This window comes from Homo sapiens, chromosome 4, assembly GCF_000001405.40.
Source record: "Homo sapiens chromosome 4, GRCh38.p14 Primary Assembly".
Taxonomy (NCBI): Eukaryota; Metazoa; Chordata; class Mammalia; order Primates; family Hominidae; genus Homo; species Homo sapiens.
In genome coordinates, this window is record NC_000004.12 from 135,549,192 (window position 1) to 135,570,565 (window position 21,374).

The window sequence follows — 21,374 nt, forward strand, 5'->3', positions numbered from 1 at the left end:
CTATTGAAAGTCAGTATATATGCTCTCTCTAAAAATTTTTAAATACTTAAAAATGATTTTTATGCAAGTGATTTATATATCATCTTTTACAAGTATGTGTGTGTGTGTGTGTGTGAGTAAATATTGTAAAACTGAATTTTAAAAAGTGAAGAAACTTTATAACTTGCTGAAAACCAAAACTAGATAAATAGACATTCTCTAAAATGTTTTTATTAGTGGTCAACTTTTACAGGTGATCAAGTGAAAGTTTTGCTCAAAACGTTAACCATTAATTAAGATGAATTCCTAAAATTTGTTTGAATGAGAACTTCCCAGTCTGGCATTGAAAAATAAAGACAAGTTAAAGAGTTAAAACTCTTTCCTTTGTAAGACCATACTGAAACAGCTGTCTCTGTGGTGTAAGAAGACCCAGTAGAGAATCTGGAAACAGTAAAAACCTGTGTTATATATTAAATTTAAAAAAAGATGACAAAAAATGAATGTTCCTGTATAAAAGTTTTACATAAATATTACTGTACTCTAAATATTTATGTGACATTTATAAATATTTACTTTGGAGATATTTTTAAATCTGTTCATTTATGCTTTGCTAACTTTTTTGACATGTAAAATAGTGTTCTATAGATTAGATCTCATATCTATACCCTAGATATGATATAATTTATTCAGTCTCTCCCATATGACAAATATTTGGGTTGTTTTCACTACTCCATTTAATATATTCCTAATTTTTAGACACAAATGTAATAAATTATTTGTAGAATGTTATTTAGTACTTAGAAACAGTCTCAGAGTTTCTCAGTATAATATGTGAATTTTTAAATATTTTTCCTTTTAATATTAACTCATATTATTATTAGAAACTAATTAGGACCTCAGGATCTTTAATTGACAATATTGAATACAGTTAGCCAATTTAAAAAATGCTTGAAAAAATGTATATTTTGTCTTTAGTATACATTTTATACTATACAATATATAAATATATTCTATACATGTACTATACAATATATGTGTCAGTCTTGTTATTAAGAACACGTCATGTAGATTTTAAATTGTTCACATATTCTATGTTCTTATTTACTTTCCACCTATGAAATATGTTCATTTTTAAGGTATTAAAAGAAAACACTATGATGCTGGATTCATTAATTTTCCTTACATTTTGAAGAGCTATTTTATTTTATTAATATTTTACCATTTGTTATTTTTTTACCTTTACTTCTAGATGCAGTACTTGTAAAAAGCATATAGTTTTTTATTTTGTTTTGTTTTGTTTTAATCCTAAGCATCTAGTCTACTAATGTGTTGTCATTTTTTCTAATTCATGCCATCTCATTTTATGTGTTTCATTTGGCAAAACTTCTTGATCTTTCCCCCCCTTTTTATCTATTCTTTCCTCCCTTTCTTTCTTCCTCTTTTGTCTTCCAACTATCTTTTAAGATAGAATGAGCGTTTTTTTCCATCCTACCTTTATTTATTCAGTAGCTGTATGTTTCACTTGTGATCTTCTGTCACCCTAAAATTTTTATTACTCATATTTGAAAAATATAGATTTGCATCTAGTGTCAATAATTACCATAGAGGACTAAACAAAGTCTTTGAAGATATTTACCATTTTTTTCTTAATTTCCAGAGTTATAAACAAAACTTTGCAAAACTTATTCAATTATTAATGTAAATCTTCAGAAGTTCAGATTCTTCTCTGTAACATGGACATAATACTAATGACATTATAAGATTTTTACGACAATCAAGATAGCAGGTAGTTGTCCTATGTTAATAACCTGGAACATGGTGGATGGTTAGCAAATGATATATCTTTTCTCACTTTAAAAAAAAATGCTTCTATTTTACTATTATGGAGTTATGGGCATCATGTTTGTCCAATAGAGTACAGCGTTACACTACTAGTATGCTAAAGTTGGACTTCACTCTTCGAAATTAATCATCTTAATATATTTTTCTACTGTACAGAATAAGTTCATGTAAACAAAAGTAATTGTGATATTCCACTGATCTTTTATAAGGACAATAATATCAAAATTATGAAGGTTTTTAGAATATTAAATCAGCTAATTTGTGTATAAATCTATAGGTCAGTATCTGGCACACAGTGTGTATTTGAAAAATAGTAACTATAGTAATGTTTTTATTATCATTACATTATTTAAAATGTTATTTTAAAGCATGATTTTTCAGGTTTCTGAGCTGTAGACATTGCTACATATAAGATAATATTTGCTATTTAAAGCTCTAACACCATCAAGTGTGTTAATAATAGGTATAAAGAAAACCAACACAGCAAGATCCACATAATATCCAAGGTGCAGATGTTCCTTCTAAATAATCAAGAAAAAATTACATGAATGAGAAAGAGAGAGGAGACACTCAATTAAGGAGGCACATGAGACAGAAAGAGGTCTACTTCTTAGGTCAAGACAACTAGATTAGATTTCCGCTATCTTGTTTTCATATTTTGTGCATGACAAATTGATATTCTAGGACATAAAATTTTGCTGTTCACAGAAGCTGGAGAGGAAGTGTAACCTTTGAAGCAGGTGTTCAGAGAGATAAAATATTTGAGAGCGACAGCTCCCACTGGACAGCATATAAAGTCGTTTTTTTAAAAAGTCCTAAATGACTAGTCCAGCTTGAGAATAGGATATTCTAGCCCGAATGATATTTGGATACAAAAATGGTTAAAACTTAACATCTCAAAACACCATGGCTCAAGAGAATATAATAGTATTACACATGAATGAGAATATTAAAAATATAATGTTTTTATTGAAAGTATTTTAATTAAAATGTTCGTATCTTAAAATGTCTCTTAACTTCTCATTTATTTATGTTGAGCATTTTGCTGTGCATTTTTTATTAACCATATGCCAAGTAAAATATTGCACACTATTGGAAATCCAGTGATTAAAATCTCATCTTTATAATGCACTAGATATGTAAAAATTGAAAGTTAGCTTTTTTTATGACGCAGTGTTTCTTGCTTTAAATAGGGATACTAAGTCCTAAAGATAAGAGTGAGATTCAATGAAGTAATTTGGTCTAGTAGCATGCTTGCCCTCTTTTTGTTTCCTAATAAATCACAGTTTCGACATTCCCCATTCACATCTAAAATCTAAATATTCAGTGAGTCATTAACAATGTGCAAAACCATTATGATTATGCAATCACTATTCAAACGTGCAAATTTGAAATTATTTTATTTTCTTAGTTTCATATGTCTTTCCTGGCATTGAAACAGCCTGCCTTTTCCTGGTGCAGCCATATTCTCATTTGCCAGGTCCAGTGCAATGTGCTGGCAGCACTCACCCAAAACCTTAGCACTTCAGTGCACACTAGCCTTACTTCCAAATGCTTGGTGCATCTCTTTGCCTGTGGGCCCTCTGACCTCTAGACTCTAGTTAACACATATGCAGCAGACAATATATGCTGTGGAATTAATACCCTCCCTCACCACCGCCACACACACTTACACTCAGACAGAACCAATAGAAATTAGTGTACTCTCCAGCTCTCTCTTGGTTCAGGCAGTATAATTCTGACAGGAGTGCTCCTCATTGGCCCCAGAAGTATTTCTAGTGTGACTAAATGCCTTCTGACTTCTCTACTCCTCTTTTTATCTCTCAACTAAGTTGTCTGCACTGAATTTTTGTCATGAGGTTTGCTTCTGGTGAAAAACATTTCCCCGGTTCGGACCAGTGATTGCAAAAACTGACCAGGGATTAAAATTCCAGTTGCCGTCAAGTGTTTCAATCGTCCAGTTATTTCAATATCAAGTCTTTATTTTCAAAAGAAGTTTGTTTAACTTCCTCCCAAATCTGTTACCTGTCCTGTTTCTTTTCAAAGGGTGACTTTGCCTGGAATCAAGTGTGAAAAGAGGAGTCTGATTACATGACTGCACGGTCTTTAAGACAAATAAGGCAGAGCCAGTCTGTGTTTCCAGCCTGACAAAAAGGTGGTCTCCACAAAGCATGTATGTGACTTCTTTGGTGCTCTCCAATAAACTCTCAAGCAACTGGTTCTCTATTGCTGAGGACTCCAGAGTGGCAACTGTGTCTTCTTTTGTCTCTCACCTACAGCATCCTAGCATATAAACCACTCCTTCCCTGTCTCGTGAACTGTTGCCATTTCTGTTCAGCATGGACTTCTGGAGTCTTACAAAGAGCCTCAGGGAATAGAGATGTGTTTGTTTGCACTCTGTCAGTACCCATGGGTACCATTTGGCCTGTGTGTTCTGCATAATCCAGTAAGTCTTTCAACTTCAGACATCTCTGTATGAAAATAAACAGGCACTAGACTCCCCCACCATCTCCCCACCCCAGGAAAACACCAAATTGCAAAAGATATGTGCATCCTTTCTATTTTCAAAGCCAATTCTAAGAGAACAATGTGTGTTCTGATGGGGAGGGAATGCTTACAATTCTGCTTTCTCTGTAGAGGACTCATAGCCACTTCTGTATATTTTTTGTATTTGTTTGTTTTTTACATAGATAAGTTTATGTGAACAGCTGTACAGAATCTGATGGAACACAGTTCCTTAGAAACTCCAGTAGTGGAATATCTAAAATGACAGCAAGTGTTGCTATTAACTTAGAATATGAGATAAAAAGCATTTTTATTATGATTTCTTGCAAATTTTTATTATCTTGTAAACCACTTCTAATCATCAGTACACAAAAATATTATGGTAATTCAATGATTATAGGAGTAATCAGAATGAGATCAGGGACAAGAGGTTAATTTATGCACGTGGATATCTTTTTAAGCCAATGCCCGCTATACTACACAAGGTTTTGTCCCTGCCCCTCTCTCCAGCCTTGCCTCCTTTTCGTACTTGGACAGCACACTCTATCCACAATGTTCCTTTTTGTTGTTGAAAAAAACAGAATTTGTTTCTTCCTTTAACCGCTTCTTATGAAGAATTTTGAACTTCTCTGTGCCTGTATCTCTCTTACAAGATATCCAAATAAATTTTCAATGGCCTTCTCTGCTTCATCTTTTAAATCTTGCCTAAATATTGCCCTTCACAGTCAGTATCATCATATACTGTTTACTCATAACACTCATAATTAAATATCATTCATGTTTTGTTTATTATATTTTTCTTCTTATGAGATTATAAATTCCACTTGCTAAATTCCTAGTGCCTAGAACAATATAGTGCAGTTCCGTACATATTTGAAAAAGAGAAGAAATCACAAATGAACGAAACAAAGTCTTGTTAAAATTAATTGTTTCCGTAAGTTAGTTCATTAGAAATATGCGACGTTATCATTATTTTGCTTTATGTGTCATAAGCAGGCACAAAAAGATTAGAAATCGAATAGATTAACTTTCTTAAAGAAACATATAATAGAAGCAATGTAATGTGTCATTTTAACAAAATAAAATAAAAACTTAAATGTTTTAATAGACTCAGTTTTGAAAAAAAAAAACTTATAATTCAAAATACTATTTAGTTTTAATTGAAGTTGGTCATCAAAATCCCAGTATTTGGTAATGATCTTGAAAAGAGAGGCCTCTGAAAATATAAATGTTTATCTTGCAAAATGTACAAATAACTATTCTTGTTAAGTAGAAGTAATAATTTCCCCAAAGATATAAACTCAGCTTTAATGTTAAACCTTGAGAAAAATAAATTTGCTTAATTTTCTGGGTTATTAAAGTAAAACTAATTTGTTGAAATTAAGCCAACTCTAGCTTTAAGCATTTCATGCTACTACTTAGAAAATAAGTGAATATAATGAATCTTATTTGAACAACTTATAATGTATGAAGACATTTAGAGTGCATCTAAATTTACCAGGAATAGTTTTTTTTTTCTCTCCTTCCTCCAATTCTGTATAATGTTTAATGGTGAATAAAAGCACTGAATTTCATTTTTACTTACTCACTTTTGTCATGTATTGAAGGAAACATTTATCTATCATACTACCTGTAGGAACAAATAAACACATCTCTAGATATAAAAATATAAATAAAATTATTTCCTGGAAAAATATTTCTCATTCTTATTCCTGCATTAATTCCACAGATGTTTATTGGACACCATGAATCACTTAGCACTCTTCTAGGGCCTGGGACACAGCAGTAAACAAAACAGACAAAAATCTCTCATAGAGATCACAATTTAGGGCAAACACATATGTAATGTTAGATAGTGACAAATGCTAAGGAGAAATTATACAGCAAGGAAGACATGACTTGCTGGGAAGATGAAATTGTAGATCAGGCAATTAGGAAGAGGCTGAACACATGCAATGTTCAAGTTTTCAGATTACACTCATCTAGGGCACAATATTTAAATCATTGATAATGAACTGGAATATTTCTCAAATTATGTTAATAGATAGCAAAAAGAGTTGGCTTTCTTGTTATTAGATGTAAGACCATACAGGTAGCAAAAATTACTTATATAATAGTTTCCTGATTGGGGTTTAGGTCTTTCCATTATAATTTAACTGCAGAGATTCAGAAGATTAGAGACTTTTATAAAAATGAGTCTCTCACCAGCCCATTGCAGCATTCCCAAAGGATGCTGTGATGTTTAATTTTAGGTGTCAGTGTGACTGGATTAAGAGATACCCAGATAACAGGTAAAACATTATTTCTGAGTATGCTGTGATGATATTTTCAGGAGAGATTGGCATTGGAATCAGTAGGCTGTGTAAGGGGAAGACCAACCCTCACCAATATGGGTGGGCATCATCCAATCTGTTGCAGGCCCAGTTAGAACCAAAAGTCAGGGAGAAGATGAAGGCAAATCTACTCACTCTTTTGGAGCTGGGACTTCTATCTTCTCCTGTTTTCAGGTATCAGAAGTCCAGGTTTTCAAGCTTTTGGACTCAGACTGAATTATATCACCAGCATCCCTGGTTCTCCAGCTTACAGATGGCAGATGGTGGGACTTTTTACTCTCAATCATTGTGGAAGCCAATTCCCATAACAAATCTCCTGTTACATCTATCTATCTATCTATCTATCTATCTATCTATCTATCTATCTATCATCTATCCATCGACCTATCTAATCACCTCTCTCTCTATATATATGCATATACTATATATATATATATATATATATATATATATACACACACTATATATACTATATATATGTGTGTGTGTGTGTGTCTTATTAATTCCATTTCTCTGGAGAACCTTGGCTAATCCATAGTTTTATGGAACACTACAATTGTGGGAATCAAGAGACGTTTATTCATTAAGAGTGCTATAGACTGAATATTTGTTACCCTCCCTTCCCCGAAAAATCGTATGTCAAAATCCTGACCTGTGGAGACTTCGGGAGTTGAAGTCCATGAATGGGATTAATGCCCTTATAAAAAGAGTAGAGAGCTTGCTTCCTCTCTCTCTTCTGTTCACCATGTGAGGACAAAATGAGAAGACAAGATGGTTGTAAGCCAGCCATAAAGAGGGCTCTAATCAAGAAATGAATCTCCTGGCACCTTTATCTTAGACTTTCCAGCTCCCAAAATTGTAAGAAATTGTTGTTTAACTTACCCAGTCTATGATAATTTGTCATAGTAGGTGGAACTGAGACCAATAGTCTATGTAATCAATGATTTTCCTTTATAATTTGCATGTATATGTTAGATGAATTATTCAATTAATCTATATGTACATGTGCAGATTTTTTTAAAAATTGCTACATGAGATGATTAATCATAAAAGTAGCTTTCATATTCTACGTGGTCTATTTAGTAACTAGATTTAAGTGTAATGGACTTTATCTTAAAAAATCAATATGCTATTTTAATATTATTCAGCCTATGCCATATATTAAACAGCATTGTGGCATATAAATTAAATTTTGATGATATCTTGCATCAGCTTTGAAGAAATTTTTCTGTCTCTTTTAAGCCCTAGCTTTTTGCACCTTTTTTTGGTTATCTGAAATGTTCTGTTAATGCAATAGAATTTAAAAGGAACCAAATTTCACAAAAGCAATAGAGATTAGTAACAATGCTACTGAACATGAACATTAAAACTTGCTTCTATCCAATTTGTCCTTTTATTTCTGTATTTTTGATTGGTGCATATCAAGAAAAAAATAGAATTGTACAGGCCACCTAAAATGATGAGGGCGTGAAAATCGAAAACTTGTAGTTTGATTAAAAGGAGAGGATTTAATTGTTATTCCAATGGTCCCTGACTCCATTTTCTTCATTAACTTCTATCAACTAATTATTAACTATATATTTCTATTCTCCAGAGTTTTCCACATTGAAAATATTCATACAAGTTTGTGATTAGTATGTGGGAATCACAAACATAGCTGATTAAATAAACTACAAGGAACAAAGTTAGAAGATGCATCAGGTTTTATACCTGCATGTGGTAAAAAATATTAGAAATCAAAAGACTTAGGACAGATTTTTCTCATGTTCTCTACCAAATTTGTCTTTCCAGAAAAGTCACCTTTTCCTGCAGTATTACAAAGAAAGAAACTAAACTAGTTCAGAAGGTAATATAGAAAAAAATTTCTATTCCTATTATATTACTATAAATATATAATTATGACAATATTTTCATAAAATAAATTTATATAACACTTTAGAATCAAATAAGTGGTTTTAATAATAAGTGCTTTTAATCTTCTAAAATGGTTTAAAATAAGTGGTTTTAATCCTCATAAAATCTTTTGCTGTAATAAGATAGTCTTACTATGCTGACTTGATCTAGATTACACTGCTAATAAATGCCAAATAGAGATAAATTCTTTTTTCATATCAACGTGCTGGTCATGAGTCTTTCACCTATTTTTCCAATTAGTTTGAAGCTTTTCATCCTGGCACCTGAAGTTCTAATCATAGTACTCATGAACATGATCAAAATAAACTCTATGGAGTTGGTTATTCATATTTACTCCTGAGCTCTTGGTACAGAAATCTCCATGATTAGAAAAGTACTACTTAATTAGAAGTGTTGGTGGCATATCGCATTTCATATTGTATATAATAAGAATAAATAAAAGTTATTTAATCAGATAATTGTAAAGTCTCAGGGTGTGATGGACATAAAGGTCATCTTATCCAATCATGCAGTAAGACTTAAGACATATATGCAAGTAAATCCAAGTTATATTAACATACCTGCCCTTTATTTAAAAAATAGCATGCTTTTATTTGACAAGAAACTCTTTAACCTTTACCAGAAGAAGTAGATGGTTTTAGAAAAATATTTTTCATAAATTGAATTAATATGGCATCTAGAAGAAAGATTAGTATTTAAAAGTAATATATAAAATGAAACATTTATCATTTATCTATTATATTTGTGAAACTGTTTGCCAGTTGGACTCTCATTATGTGAATGCAAAACGTATCTTTGCCTTTCCCCTGACATTTGCTCTCTGGTGAGGTATGTCACAGTAAGGTCTGAGCCTTCTGTGAAACTTAGACATGGCATCAATAGACTGGTGAAGTATGTAAAATATACTAAGTCTCTCTTATCCAGTTTGTTTCCATTTTATTTCCTGATAAGTACACTTCAAGTTCTGCAATTTTTTGAAACTTATTCTGCCTCTTGATCTAACTCATTCTTTCTTATCATCTTCCTTAAGACATTAAGCACCCCACCCTGTCTTAACTTTCAAAACTGGCACCTTCCTAAATTAAAAAACTAATCTGAAGCTTCCTGTTAAATGGAAGAAGATTAGTTACGCTTTTTTTTTCTTCCTAATTAATTTATATACTTTTAAAGGTGAGCTTCTATCTTATTGGTAGTGTCCATTTTTTAAATTCAATTTTAGAAGCTCAGAAATTTAGCTGGGGATTGGATAATGCTCAGGTTTAGCACATCTATCTTGGCTTCTTCAAAACACATCACATAGGTAACTTCCCTTTCTGCCTTTGTTGTCATCATTCAAACATAGGTTTTATCAGAACATATGGCTCTATGAAGTAAAGGAAAATTAGGCAAACTGTGAGAAAGAGAGATGTTTAAATTCTTCTTAATCCTACTTCCTTTTATACTTAGTCTTTTGCTTGATAAAATATTCAAAATAACATGTTCATCAAGTCTTTTTTTTTCAAGTTATTAATGTGGTATGAAACTTAAACTTTTAGATTCATTGTGGCATTCAATAACTACTGGACATAATTTTGTAATTATTTTGAAAGCTTTCTTTGTAATACATCTTATCCATTTTAACCATCCTGTTAGAAGTTCTGAAAAGTATTAGGTTTTTATTGTGATAACTTGATTAATTTCAGAGGCTTATACACATTTTGGTATGATCTAAATTTATATTAATATTTTACAGATAATGTCATTTTTAGTCAGTGTATATAGTAAGTAGCCTTTGCCAAAAATAATGTCTTGGGTTTGATTTATTATATTTCTGATTAGAAAGGGAACATATATATCATATGTATGATATATATGACAGATAAATTTGTATGAATTAGTGGGTGATGATTTAAGTTCTGAAGAGACGTTATTAAATTTACTATGCATAGACCTTAATTCAATATTTGATAGAGAAAGTAATGGAGATTTTTGTAGTTAACATATTCATGAGAGTAAATATTCATGAGTGAATAACGGATGTATATATTTCAGTAATAAAAACAGCATTAAAATAGAAAATCATGTTCAAAGAAAATAATCACTTTATATTGTACCTTGCATTACAGATATATTTTGATATCTCCACAATGTTTGTGACAAAATTGTAAAGATACCAAAGACCTCATGGATTTGGTTCACTCTGGAGAATCATATTATGTTCCTCAGATATCATTTCTTAAAGAGTCACCTAAGAAAATAACTTGACAGTAACAAAAGATTTTTTCAGAACAATCTCTGCTGGTTGTTTTTCAGAACAATCTATATTTGTCATTTTTTTTCATTTTGGTGAATAAGAATTACTTTAAAAATAATAGTAAATCTTAAGTAGTAATGCAGCCACCCTCATTGTTGAGCTGTCTAATTATACATACTCTGATATGCTCTGATTTAAAAATTCCTTCTTCTCTACCATCAATTAGGTCAAAGAGTTTATATGTATTATGTCAATTTCTAATGAAATTTGGAGACTATGCTAATCATATTACTTAAGACTCTGACTCTAGTTGGAAAAATAAAGCTATAAGATATTTAAAATACTCAAACCTTTTCACTTCTGGGAAAATACCAGTTGAATTATGTGTTCTTGGCAGCACATCTAAATATAAGAAATGTAAATTAAATGGGAATATCAACTTAATAAACTAAATTAATTAGGGCATGTGAGATAGCCTTCGGAAATTCTATTTTAAATATTGCCAGAATCTTGATTCTTGATTTATTAAAACATTCTAAATAAAATAAAGTGGTAACATAGATATCAGAAAGAACCTCCTTCTCTCTGGGTACACACACACACACACACACACACACACACACATTTTTACAACAAATGTCATTATTTATTTTGATGTTTTTCCAGAAATCAAAACACTTTCAGAAACAACTAAGATATAAAATACATCATAAAATGAGATTTGTATTTATTTCTCACATAAAGTGAAAATATTCTCAGAAGTTGTTTTTGCCAAAACCAATTAATAGGTTACACTTTTCCTATTCTCCTAATAAAGTCATCTCCTCCTGTCTCAGGCTCTAGCCCACTCAGGGCCAGGGGAAACAAGAACAACCACTAGTATTGAGACATGCTGCTGCAGAACTGATTTCGACGCACTTGGCCTCCTCGGTCAACCCCACTTTTCACAAACCAACCAACCAACCAACCATGGCCACAGAGAAACTTTGACTTGTCCAAGTGTCATTTGATATGGCTGTCATACTGCATTAACAGGAAGAGGGGCATGCACCAAGAAACAACCCTGCCGAGGTTAAAACACCGAGACAAAGAAGTTGGAAGTCTGTAGGGCAGGCCCATCAGGAAGAGACTGTGCAGAGCGCCGCAGAAAGAAACTCTGCAAGAATGAGCCAAAGCTGCTGTCCAGAGGTGGAATTTTCCCCTCTCTCTAAAAGCCTCAGCCTTGCTTTACGGAATTTCCAATCATTTAAGTCTGGCCTACTAAAGATAATACCCCTATGTAAAAGCAATTAATTGGGGACTTTAATAAATCTGCAAAATCCCTTCACAGCAGCTCCTAGATTAGCATCTGACTGAACACCTAGGGGTGCCAGCCTAGCCAAGTCTATACATCATGAAGCCATCACAGTGCCCATCAAAGAGCCTATTATACTTTATTTTATCTCTAAATTTTTAACCTGTGAAAATGTGAAAGACTATTTGTTAATTTTGCTCAGGGGGTTAAGGGCTTGTTCCATTGTATCCTGCCCACATTTTCATGTATTCTTTCTCTTTTGGATATTTAGATCAAACACAGATTCAGACATTTTTAGAGTGATGTGGCAATATACTGATTCAAATTATCAAGTCATAGATTTTTTTTTCTTCTTGGTCACTATTTTCATTTGTAGTTCAACCATCATTACACTAAAGCACAAGGTTGATAAATAGATGGTCTTAATGACTAGATCATTTAGAATACAAAGGAACTTTAGTAACTGATGTATGAGACACTCACACTAAGTTAATTTAGAGTAAACTATACCTTAGCAGCGTCAAGTAAAGATAGGGAAAGAAAATGATGAAAGGCTCTTAAATCTAGCTACAAACAGAACAGAAATGCGGAATATCTATTAGCAAATAGGATTTTCGTTGGGATTTTGCTGAATCCATTTGGGAAGAATTGACATTTTACTAATATTGAGACTCATGAGCAATGAATAAGATATATTTCTTCATTTATATAGTTATTATTTAATTCCTTTTCCATAAGTATTTTTATTTTTTGTGCTATTAATGCTATTTTTAAATAATTATTTTAATTACTGGTTGTTCATTGCTAGGAAATGGAAATAAAATTGACAACCATGCATTTATCTTATATCTTGTAAATATGCTAAACTCATTAATTAGTTCCATTCTTTTTTTTAAGATCCTTCAGATTTTCTGCAAAAATTATTATAAATAAAAAGAGTTTTATTCATTGAAGTCTCAGTAATTTTTATTTTTTTATCACCTGATTGCAATGGCTAGAACTTTAGTACAATGTTGAATAAAAATTATAAAAGTAGACATTGTTGTCTTGTTCTGATCTTATGTAAAAATAATTCATTTTTTCCTTAAATAGGATATTAGCTATAGGGTTTTTTTTGGATGTTTTTGGCCAGGGTTAAGAATTTCTCTTCTATTTCTATTTTGATTAAATTTTTGTTCTTTTTTAAAATTAGAAACAGATGTTGGAATTTGTTAATTACTTTTAACAAATAAGATGCTCATATAAATATTCTATCTTAGTTTGTTAATATGTTTAATTACATTTTTGATTTTCAAATACCAAGTTCCATTTTTGGGAAAAATACCACTTAGTAGTATCTTATGTTGTCTCCTAGGAAACCTGTAGGAGAAAATATAAAACAGTATCTTTAAGAGCTTGGGTTGGGCAAGAAAAAGCATCACATGTAAAAGTTTGATAACTTGAACTACATTAAAATTAAAGATTTCTGTTCACCAAAATATACCAATAATATTGTGAAGCAAGTAATGAAATAAAAAATCTGTACTTCTATCCAAGCAAGAATTCATACTCTATAAAAATAAAACTACCAAGCAAAAAGTAAAAGAAAAAAAATCAATTTAAAAATGGGCCAAAACTTAGAATAGGCACATTAATGAAGAAGACACCAGATAGCTCACCATATTTACTCAATAGTTAATTGCAAACTAAACCTAGAAAATTAAAAATACTAATAATACCAAGGGTTGGCAATAATTCGAAGCATCTGTAAAACTCATATGCTTTTGGTGGGCATGAAAGTGAATAAAACATCTGGACTAGTTGGCTCACGCCTGTAATCTAAATTTGGGAGGCAAAGGAGGGTGGATCACAAGGTCAGGAGTTCGAGACCAGTCTGGCCAGCATAGTGAAACCCTGTCTCTACTACAAATACAAAAAATTTAGCCAGGTGTGGTGGTGTGCACCTGTAATCCCAGCTACTTGGGAGGCTGAGGCAGGAGAATCACATGAACCCAGGAGGCAGAAGTTGCAGTGAGCCAAGATAGCACCATTGCACTCTAGCCCAGGCAACAGTGTGAGACTCCATCTCAAAAAAAAAAAAAAAGTGACTAAAACTACTTTGGCAACTTTTTAATTAATATCCACTGAAGTAAAACATTTGCTTTTTTTCTTCACTCAGAAATTCTACATATATTTTACATAACATATATGAATATTTATCTGTTCATCTATCTATCTCTCTAAGGAAATGAGTGCAAACATTTATCAAAACACATTCCCAAGACCATTCATAGCAGATATATTCAAAATATTTCCAGAAACAAGTGAATTACCTTTCAAAAGAAGAAACAATAAAAGAACCAAGGACCAAGGTGTACTATACAATTAAATACAATACAGCAATAAAAATGTGACTGCTTCAGAAAACAATATGAATGAATGACATAGGCACAATGATAAGAAAAATAAGCCATACACAAAAGAGCACATATTGTATGATTTTGTTTCATGAAGTTCAAGACGCAAACCTAATATAGGTGATAGGTGCAGAAGAGTGGCTGTGAAAGTATTTAAGTATCAAAGACATATATATGTTTTCAAACCACAGATTTATATTATTGCAAAATTTTGCAGAATGAGGACTATATTATTTTTTGTAAAAATGAAAAGCTCCAAAGAGGTAAAAACAGTATGAACAATTGTGTGTGGACATTACATTTAATATATGGAAAAATACAAGTGAAAGAAGCATTTAGGTATGAACTATTAAATTACAACTTTATGTAATTAAGTTTAAGTTAGGCAAAAATGTAATTCATTTGGTGATTATTACCAAATGAATTTCACCAAATGATTATCACCAAATGAGTTTCAGGTGGATGATAGTTTGAAGGTACAGACTTGGAGAAAGTGTAGAAATTAAGGATGCCCCAAAGGCTGAGCATCAGGAACCATATCAATGACCAAGCACTGGAACATTTGCTCATAGCCTATAACATCCATACTCCTTTCTTTGCTGAGTCATTGCATAGTGGCTAGGTGTGTGGGGGACAGTGATTCTGAGAAACATCAGATAGATTGAGCAAGGTAAAATATCTGGTCCTAGGCAGTGGAAGTAGGGCTGTGGGGTGAATCTGGTCGCTTACACTTTTAATTGAAGACACAGTCTCTCACCAAGATTACACACAAACAAAAAATTAGAGTATTTGTAGGGAATGGAGTTAGATGATGACATCCTTAAAATATCAAATGTTCACAACAACTGGGAAACAATATAAAATTTAAAAGAGTAATAAAATGACATTAAATTCACCTTCTGTTTGAAATTTGCTTTAACTCTTAAAATGCACAGAGGTTAAGAAGGGAATGCATGTTTCTGGGTTGAGCTAAACGAAACTATTTAATAATTTTACTTTAGAAGATCACAATTGCCTTTTCAAAATGAAAAATTGCCCTCCAGCTTTAAACTATTGACATGATTATAAACCATTGAAAGATAAATGATAATTTAGTGGATTAATATGTGCCTAATTAATTGGCCTTGATAAATATAAACTATTTAGTTTTAACAATATAGAAATACTTTTCCTGAAAAGCATATTAAAAAAAAAAAACAGAAGCTTCCAGTTTATTTATTTTAGTTTTACTCTCTTCACATACCAACAGCTACAACTTTCCTCCCTTTGTGGGGTCCCCAAACTAAGTCTCTTTCCAGGAGAACAGACACATGCCTCCATCAGCTCTGAGGACTCTGAGGGACTCCAGACTGTGAGCTGGGTTATGGTCTCCCATATTAAAAGAGGTTGATAGCTCTCACAGGTCTTTGCCTCATTTATGTACAAAGGCTCAGAAAATTTCTTCAGCATTTGGGACCCTGGTGTTCTGTAGCTCCACCGCCACTGCTTGACTTAGTCAAGTCCTGCTAGCCAAGTCAACGATTATCTAGAGTCCAAATGTCCACTGTTCTCTTACTTTGCTCTTTTGGGCCAACCCAGTGGGCAAGCTGGGCCCAGCAGACTCTCCAACTGAGGGTCAGTCCAGAGTCAGCTTCCAGGTCACTGACCAATCCTGCAGACTACAGGCTTTGTTGTTCTTCCCTGACATTTCTCTTGCTCAGAATCCACAGACATAAACACCACCTGGAACAGGGACAGCCAGAGAATCTATTTTCCCTCACAGCTTTATGTGCCTGCTCCCAACACCCTTTCCACAGAACTGAACGCTGCTTGATGAATAACTGGACACTCTAGGACTCCTGTCGGCCACTTGTACTGAAAGTCAAATCTCAGGGACAGTTGTAAGTCAAGCTTGATTATCCCACACTGTGGGACACTGTGAAGGTTCATGTCAATCTGGGGACCATAGAAAGCACCAACTCCAAAGTTCAGGTCTCAAGAGTTCTCCAAATTCCTCCAGGGTCCATTGAAGGACCTGTTTAGCCTATTCCCAAAGGCAATGCTCCCTGAGGAAGCCAGATGGCAAGGTGGACAGTGCCAAGCAGAAGAAGCAGCAAAGGACAACATAGACATAGTGGAGGAAATCAAGACAGCTTCAGATCTCTGCTTCCCACTGATCTGGTGCTGATCTTCCATCATCCTATTGGAAGCACCATGGCTGGGTAAGTCTCCCAGGACTGCTGGAGGCCTCAGTCAGTTGTAGGGCCTAGAAGTCAACCAGTTGCAGTGGTAGCTTCCTCCAGGATCTGAGGGGGTGGGTGAACATCAGGCAGCATGTAGGGCAGTTTATGGGCTGTAGGGTGTGTCTTGGGGATGCCTAGAGCTGTCAGGCCTGTCAGAGTCTGGGGCTACAGGGGCAAACATGTCTGCCCTTTAATTTTCCCAGTGCCCTGAATGTTCCAGAGTTTTGTAGAGAACACTGTGGTGGGCCTACTCAGCCTTGATAAATACCAGTAATGCAGTATACACCCTTGTCCCTCGTGGCAAGAAGCAGCAGCTTCCAGGGCTCAGTTCATGGAAGCAGAAGAGCTCCTGTTCCTTCCCAACATGGCAGTGGTCTGCAAATCAGTTTCCTCTCTCCATACCTCCAAGGTTTTCACAAACTCTGCTGTGGAGAACTCTTTGCAGTGTCTCTAGAGCTTCAGAAGACCTCCATAAAGATGAAAAGTTTCTTAGCAACTTCAATCTTTCAATCTGTCTAGTATGCCAAAGGTGGGGACTCAGCAAAGGTCAACCAATACGCCATGCCCATATACTGTTACTGTCAGACTTGTGACTTTCTCCTGGCTCAGGTGAAGTTTAAAGTGGTTGTCTTGAACAGCTGGCAAAGCTGATATAGGAAACCTCTATCCTACAGAAGAATTAAGCAGAGCTGTAAGTTCCCTGGAAATCTGTGGCAAAGCAGGCACTCTGAGACGCAGGTTGTCTGCTCCTTTCTTGGGAAGAGATTATGGTAAAAAAACAGCCTTGGACGGAGAATAGCACCTAGGAATTGTTCAGCTGCTGCCCACAGGACATGGGCACTGGAGTGCCAGAGCAGTCTTTCCCTTCTGAGGAATGGAATGTCAGAAATTTGAGGTCAGAATTGTCTTCAAGAGTGGCTCCAAATCATAAAGTTCTTAATTCACATGAGCAGCTTCTACAGTGTCTGCCAGTGTGGAACTGAACTGCAGGGCTAATTGGTAAGGGTTTGTTTCCCATGCAACAGCATCCACTTTCTGGTTTCCAAGAAGTGATATATTAATATGCTGGGGTTTCTTCTGTGCTATGCTTGCTAACCTCTTTACCTAAGAAGCCCATAGCTCCTCAAAAGGCTAAGCCACTCTGCCAATCAGTATGGAGGAACAGTTACAACTGCCGTGATGTGTATGTAGCCCACATGCCTGTAACTTTTGGAGTCAGAGTGGACATCACCTCTGATACAGCCTCATGTTCCCTGAAAGATATAATTTCACCAACGTTCAGATATTTATAATGCAAAGGAAACGTATATTCATATCTCATGAATAAAAAATAAACATTAAATATTTAACAACTATTAAGAGGTATAAATCTAAGCAAGTACTTTTGATAGGTGGATGATTAAAAACTTATCTCACTTAAATTTAAATACTTAAAAATTTTATTAACATAAATTAACTACATTTTGTGTCAAGATATCTTGTTTTCATATTTTAGCATATTTAGCATTTAGAAATGCCAGATGTAAAATTTCTAAAAAAATTAACTTGCTAACTCATAGAAGTTGCTAATTTATTTTATTACAAAAGGATATGGTGCTAATTTACAAAAATTCTAACAAATTATATTAATATTATTAAGAAGAAGCTACAATAGAATTATGATAACCAAGATGGCTTCTGTCTTAGTCCATTTCATTTACCAAAACAATACCAAATATTAGGTAATTTATAAAGAATAGAAGTTTATTTGGCTCATAGTTCTGGAGGCTGGGAAATGCAAGAGCATAGCATCAGCATCTGGTTAGGGCCTTATAGCTCCATCATAATATAATGTAGGGCATCACGTGGTGAGGGACAAGAGCAAGAGAGCCAAGGAACGCTTAGTTTTATAAAAAAGCCACTCCCATGATAATGAATCTACTCCCACAATAATAACATTAATATATTCATGAAGGCAGAACTCTCGTGAATCTACTAACTCATTAATGAGAGCATAGGTCACATTAATCCATTCATGAAGGCAGAGAGATTAGGATTCTAACACATGAAGAGGACACATTCAAACCATAGCAGTTTTTAACTGTTTTATCTCATTTATCTAATTCTAATTCCTTTGTTTAAATACTGTGGCTAGCTCAAGTGTTTGTAAATGTTCAATTATTTCATATTTGTCTTACTCTATTTGAGTTGTTAAAACACAATACCATAAAATAGGTGGCTTATAAATAAAAAACATCTATTTCTCATAGTTCTGGAGGCTGGGGAGTACAAGATCAATGTGCTGGTAAAATTAGTGTCTGGTGAAGTTCAACTTTCCAGTTTATAAAATGGCACCTTCTTACTGTCGCCTCACATGTTAGACAGAGAAGGAGTACTATGGTGTCTCTTTGTAAAGGGCAATAATTCCATTCCTGAAGGTTTAACTCTCATAACTAATCACTTCCCAAAAGCCCACCTCTTTGTGCCATCACATTGGTAATTAGAGTTCAACATATAAATTTTAGAGAAAAAGAAACATTCAGACCAAAGCAATATTTAAGACAACAACTTAAAATCTCACCTATATGTCTTCTACAATATGCAATTTAGATATAAAATTTAGCTTAATATATGAGCTGAAATACTGGTATGAATCTCTACCTTTGAACACGACTATACTAGAAAACAAAATATTCCCTGTATTATAAAAATAAATAAAATAAGAAAGTTATTATTAAAAAAGAAGGTTATTAAGTTTTATTATTCTTCTTTGGTTAAGTTCAGTTTAGAAATTCGAAAGAAAGAATAAGAAAAAATAACTATTATTGTCCCTTGCCTATTATTAACTAAAAATTAGAAAATAGGTGTGATTTCTACAATATTTTAGATAGAGCTTAACAGTTCTCAAAAATTTATAAATTACCGAATAAATGAAAATATTCCAAAATTTATCATAACCTGCTATTAAAGCATACTTAAAATAGATGGTATCCTGCTGGTTCTCATGGGCACCATCATATCTCCAGTAATTTAGGGTAAGAGATTTAGTTTAATTGCTAATTGCATAAATGAAACTGGGTCATATAATTTACTATTTAATTAACTATATAAATACAAATGATTATGCTACATTTTATATTTTTGCAAGTTACTATGTTGGTTATGATACTTCATACTTGAAAAGAATATTTTATTTTTACCTGAAAGGAAATTTTGTCAAAAACTTTTTTTTAAAACAAAATTTCAAATGATATTTTTTCACATGCACCAACTATCCCTCTCTTTTCCTTTTAAAATGTAAAATAAATAGAGACTTGAAGGTTAAAGTTAACTATTATTTCATATGCATGTGTATATAAATATAAAATATGTGTATATATTACATAATACACACACACACGTTTTCTGAAACAGGGTCTTGCTCTTTTACTCAGGCTGGAGTGCAGTGGCACCGTCATAGCTTACTGCAGCCTTACCCTCCTAAGCTCAAGTGATTCTCTCACCTTAGTCTCCCAAGTAGCTGGGCCTACAGGCACAGGCCTCCATGTCAGGCAAATTTATTTATTTATTTATTTATTTATTTATTTTTATTTTTGTAGAGATAAGATCTGACTCTATTGCCCAGGTTGATCTTGAACTCCCAACATAAAGTAATCCTCTTGCCTCAGCTTCCCAAAGTGTTAGGATTATAAGTGTGAGCCATTGTGCCTGGCCCTGATGTTAACTTTTAGTCAGTAAGGAAAAGTAGCCTCTTCAAAATTACTTAAAGCCAAAAGAAATATCATTATAACATGCTAATTTTCATCTTTAATTTGAGAAACAAATGCAACGTATATATAATAGAAGATACATCCACCAAAATAAAAAAATATATTCAGAAGCTTAGAAGTTCCATACTATGTGCTCCTTAAGTCACATTTGATAAGTTTATTATTTCCACAGAGGTATAGTTTGTTCAGCTCTATCTTGACAAAGAAATATCCTGCTTTGGAATTACTGTCTTAATGAATAATTGCACAGAATATAAAAATAGAATATTATCATAATGACAGACTAGGAAGTAACTGATTCATATTCCCCTGTAGCAACAAGAATTCTGAACCCATCCACAGAAAAAAATACTTGGGATTCAGGTAGAAGTTTATAAAACTCCGTGGGGCCCAAGACATAGTTGGGTCATTTCAAGTGTGCAGGTTGGCACCCAAGTGGCTGATCTGCTGATTCTACTTTTGGTTCAAGCCTAGGAACTGCCTCACCCCTAAGAGCTTTGAGCCTGTAGCCAAAATCATCTTTCAAGGGTTTTAGGAGAAATCACACACATTAGTACATTGGTGAAGAGGCTCATCTGTCTGCTGACATTTATCTTGACAGTAAACCTGAAAGTTGCCCTGTGGCTAGGTTCCTGCTCCCCTCAGCTGAAATCCTGGCTCAGAACTCTAAACAAAAAGACACAAAAGGAGACTAACTCATTTCTTTCAGTCCAAGTGTCTAAGCCTGCATGATGGGCTCACCAACTGCCATTCCAAAGCAGATCCTGAGATGGCTCAGTCTCAGCTTTGGTCTTTTTTGCTGAAGCTGGTGAACATTCTGCCTGTACAGGGACCTGCTGAGAAACATGCCCATCTGAGTAACTGGAACAGTCTTCTAGGCTAAAGTCCCGGCCAACTTTCCCATACA

General features: G+C 33.6%; 1 pseudogene; it reads right to left on the bottom strand.

The window, feature by feature from the left end:
* On the bottom strand, positions 15,703-17,971 carry TARS2P1 (TARS2 pseudogene 1; annotated as a pseudogene).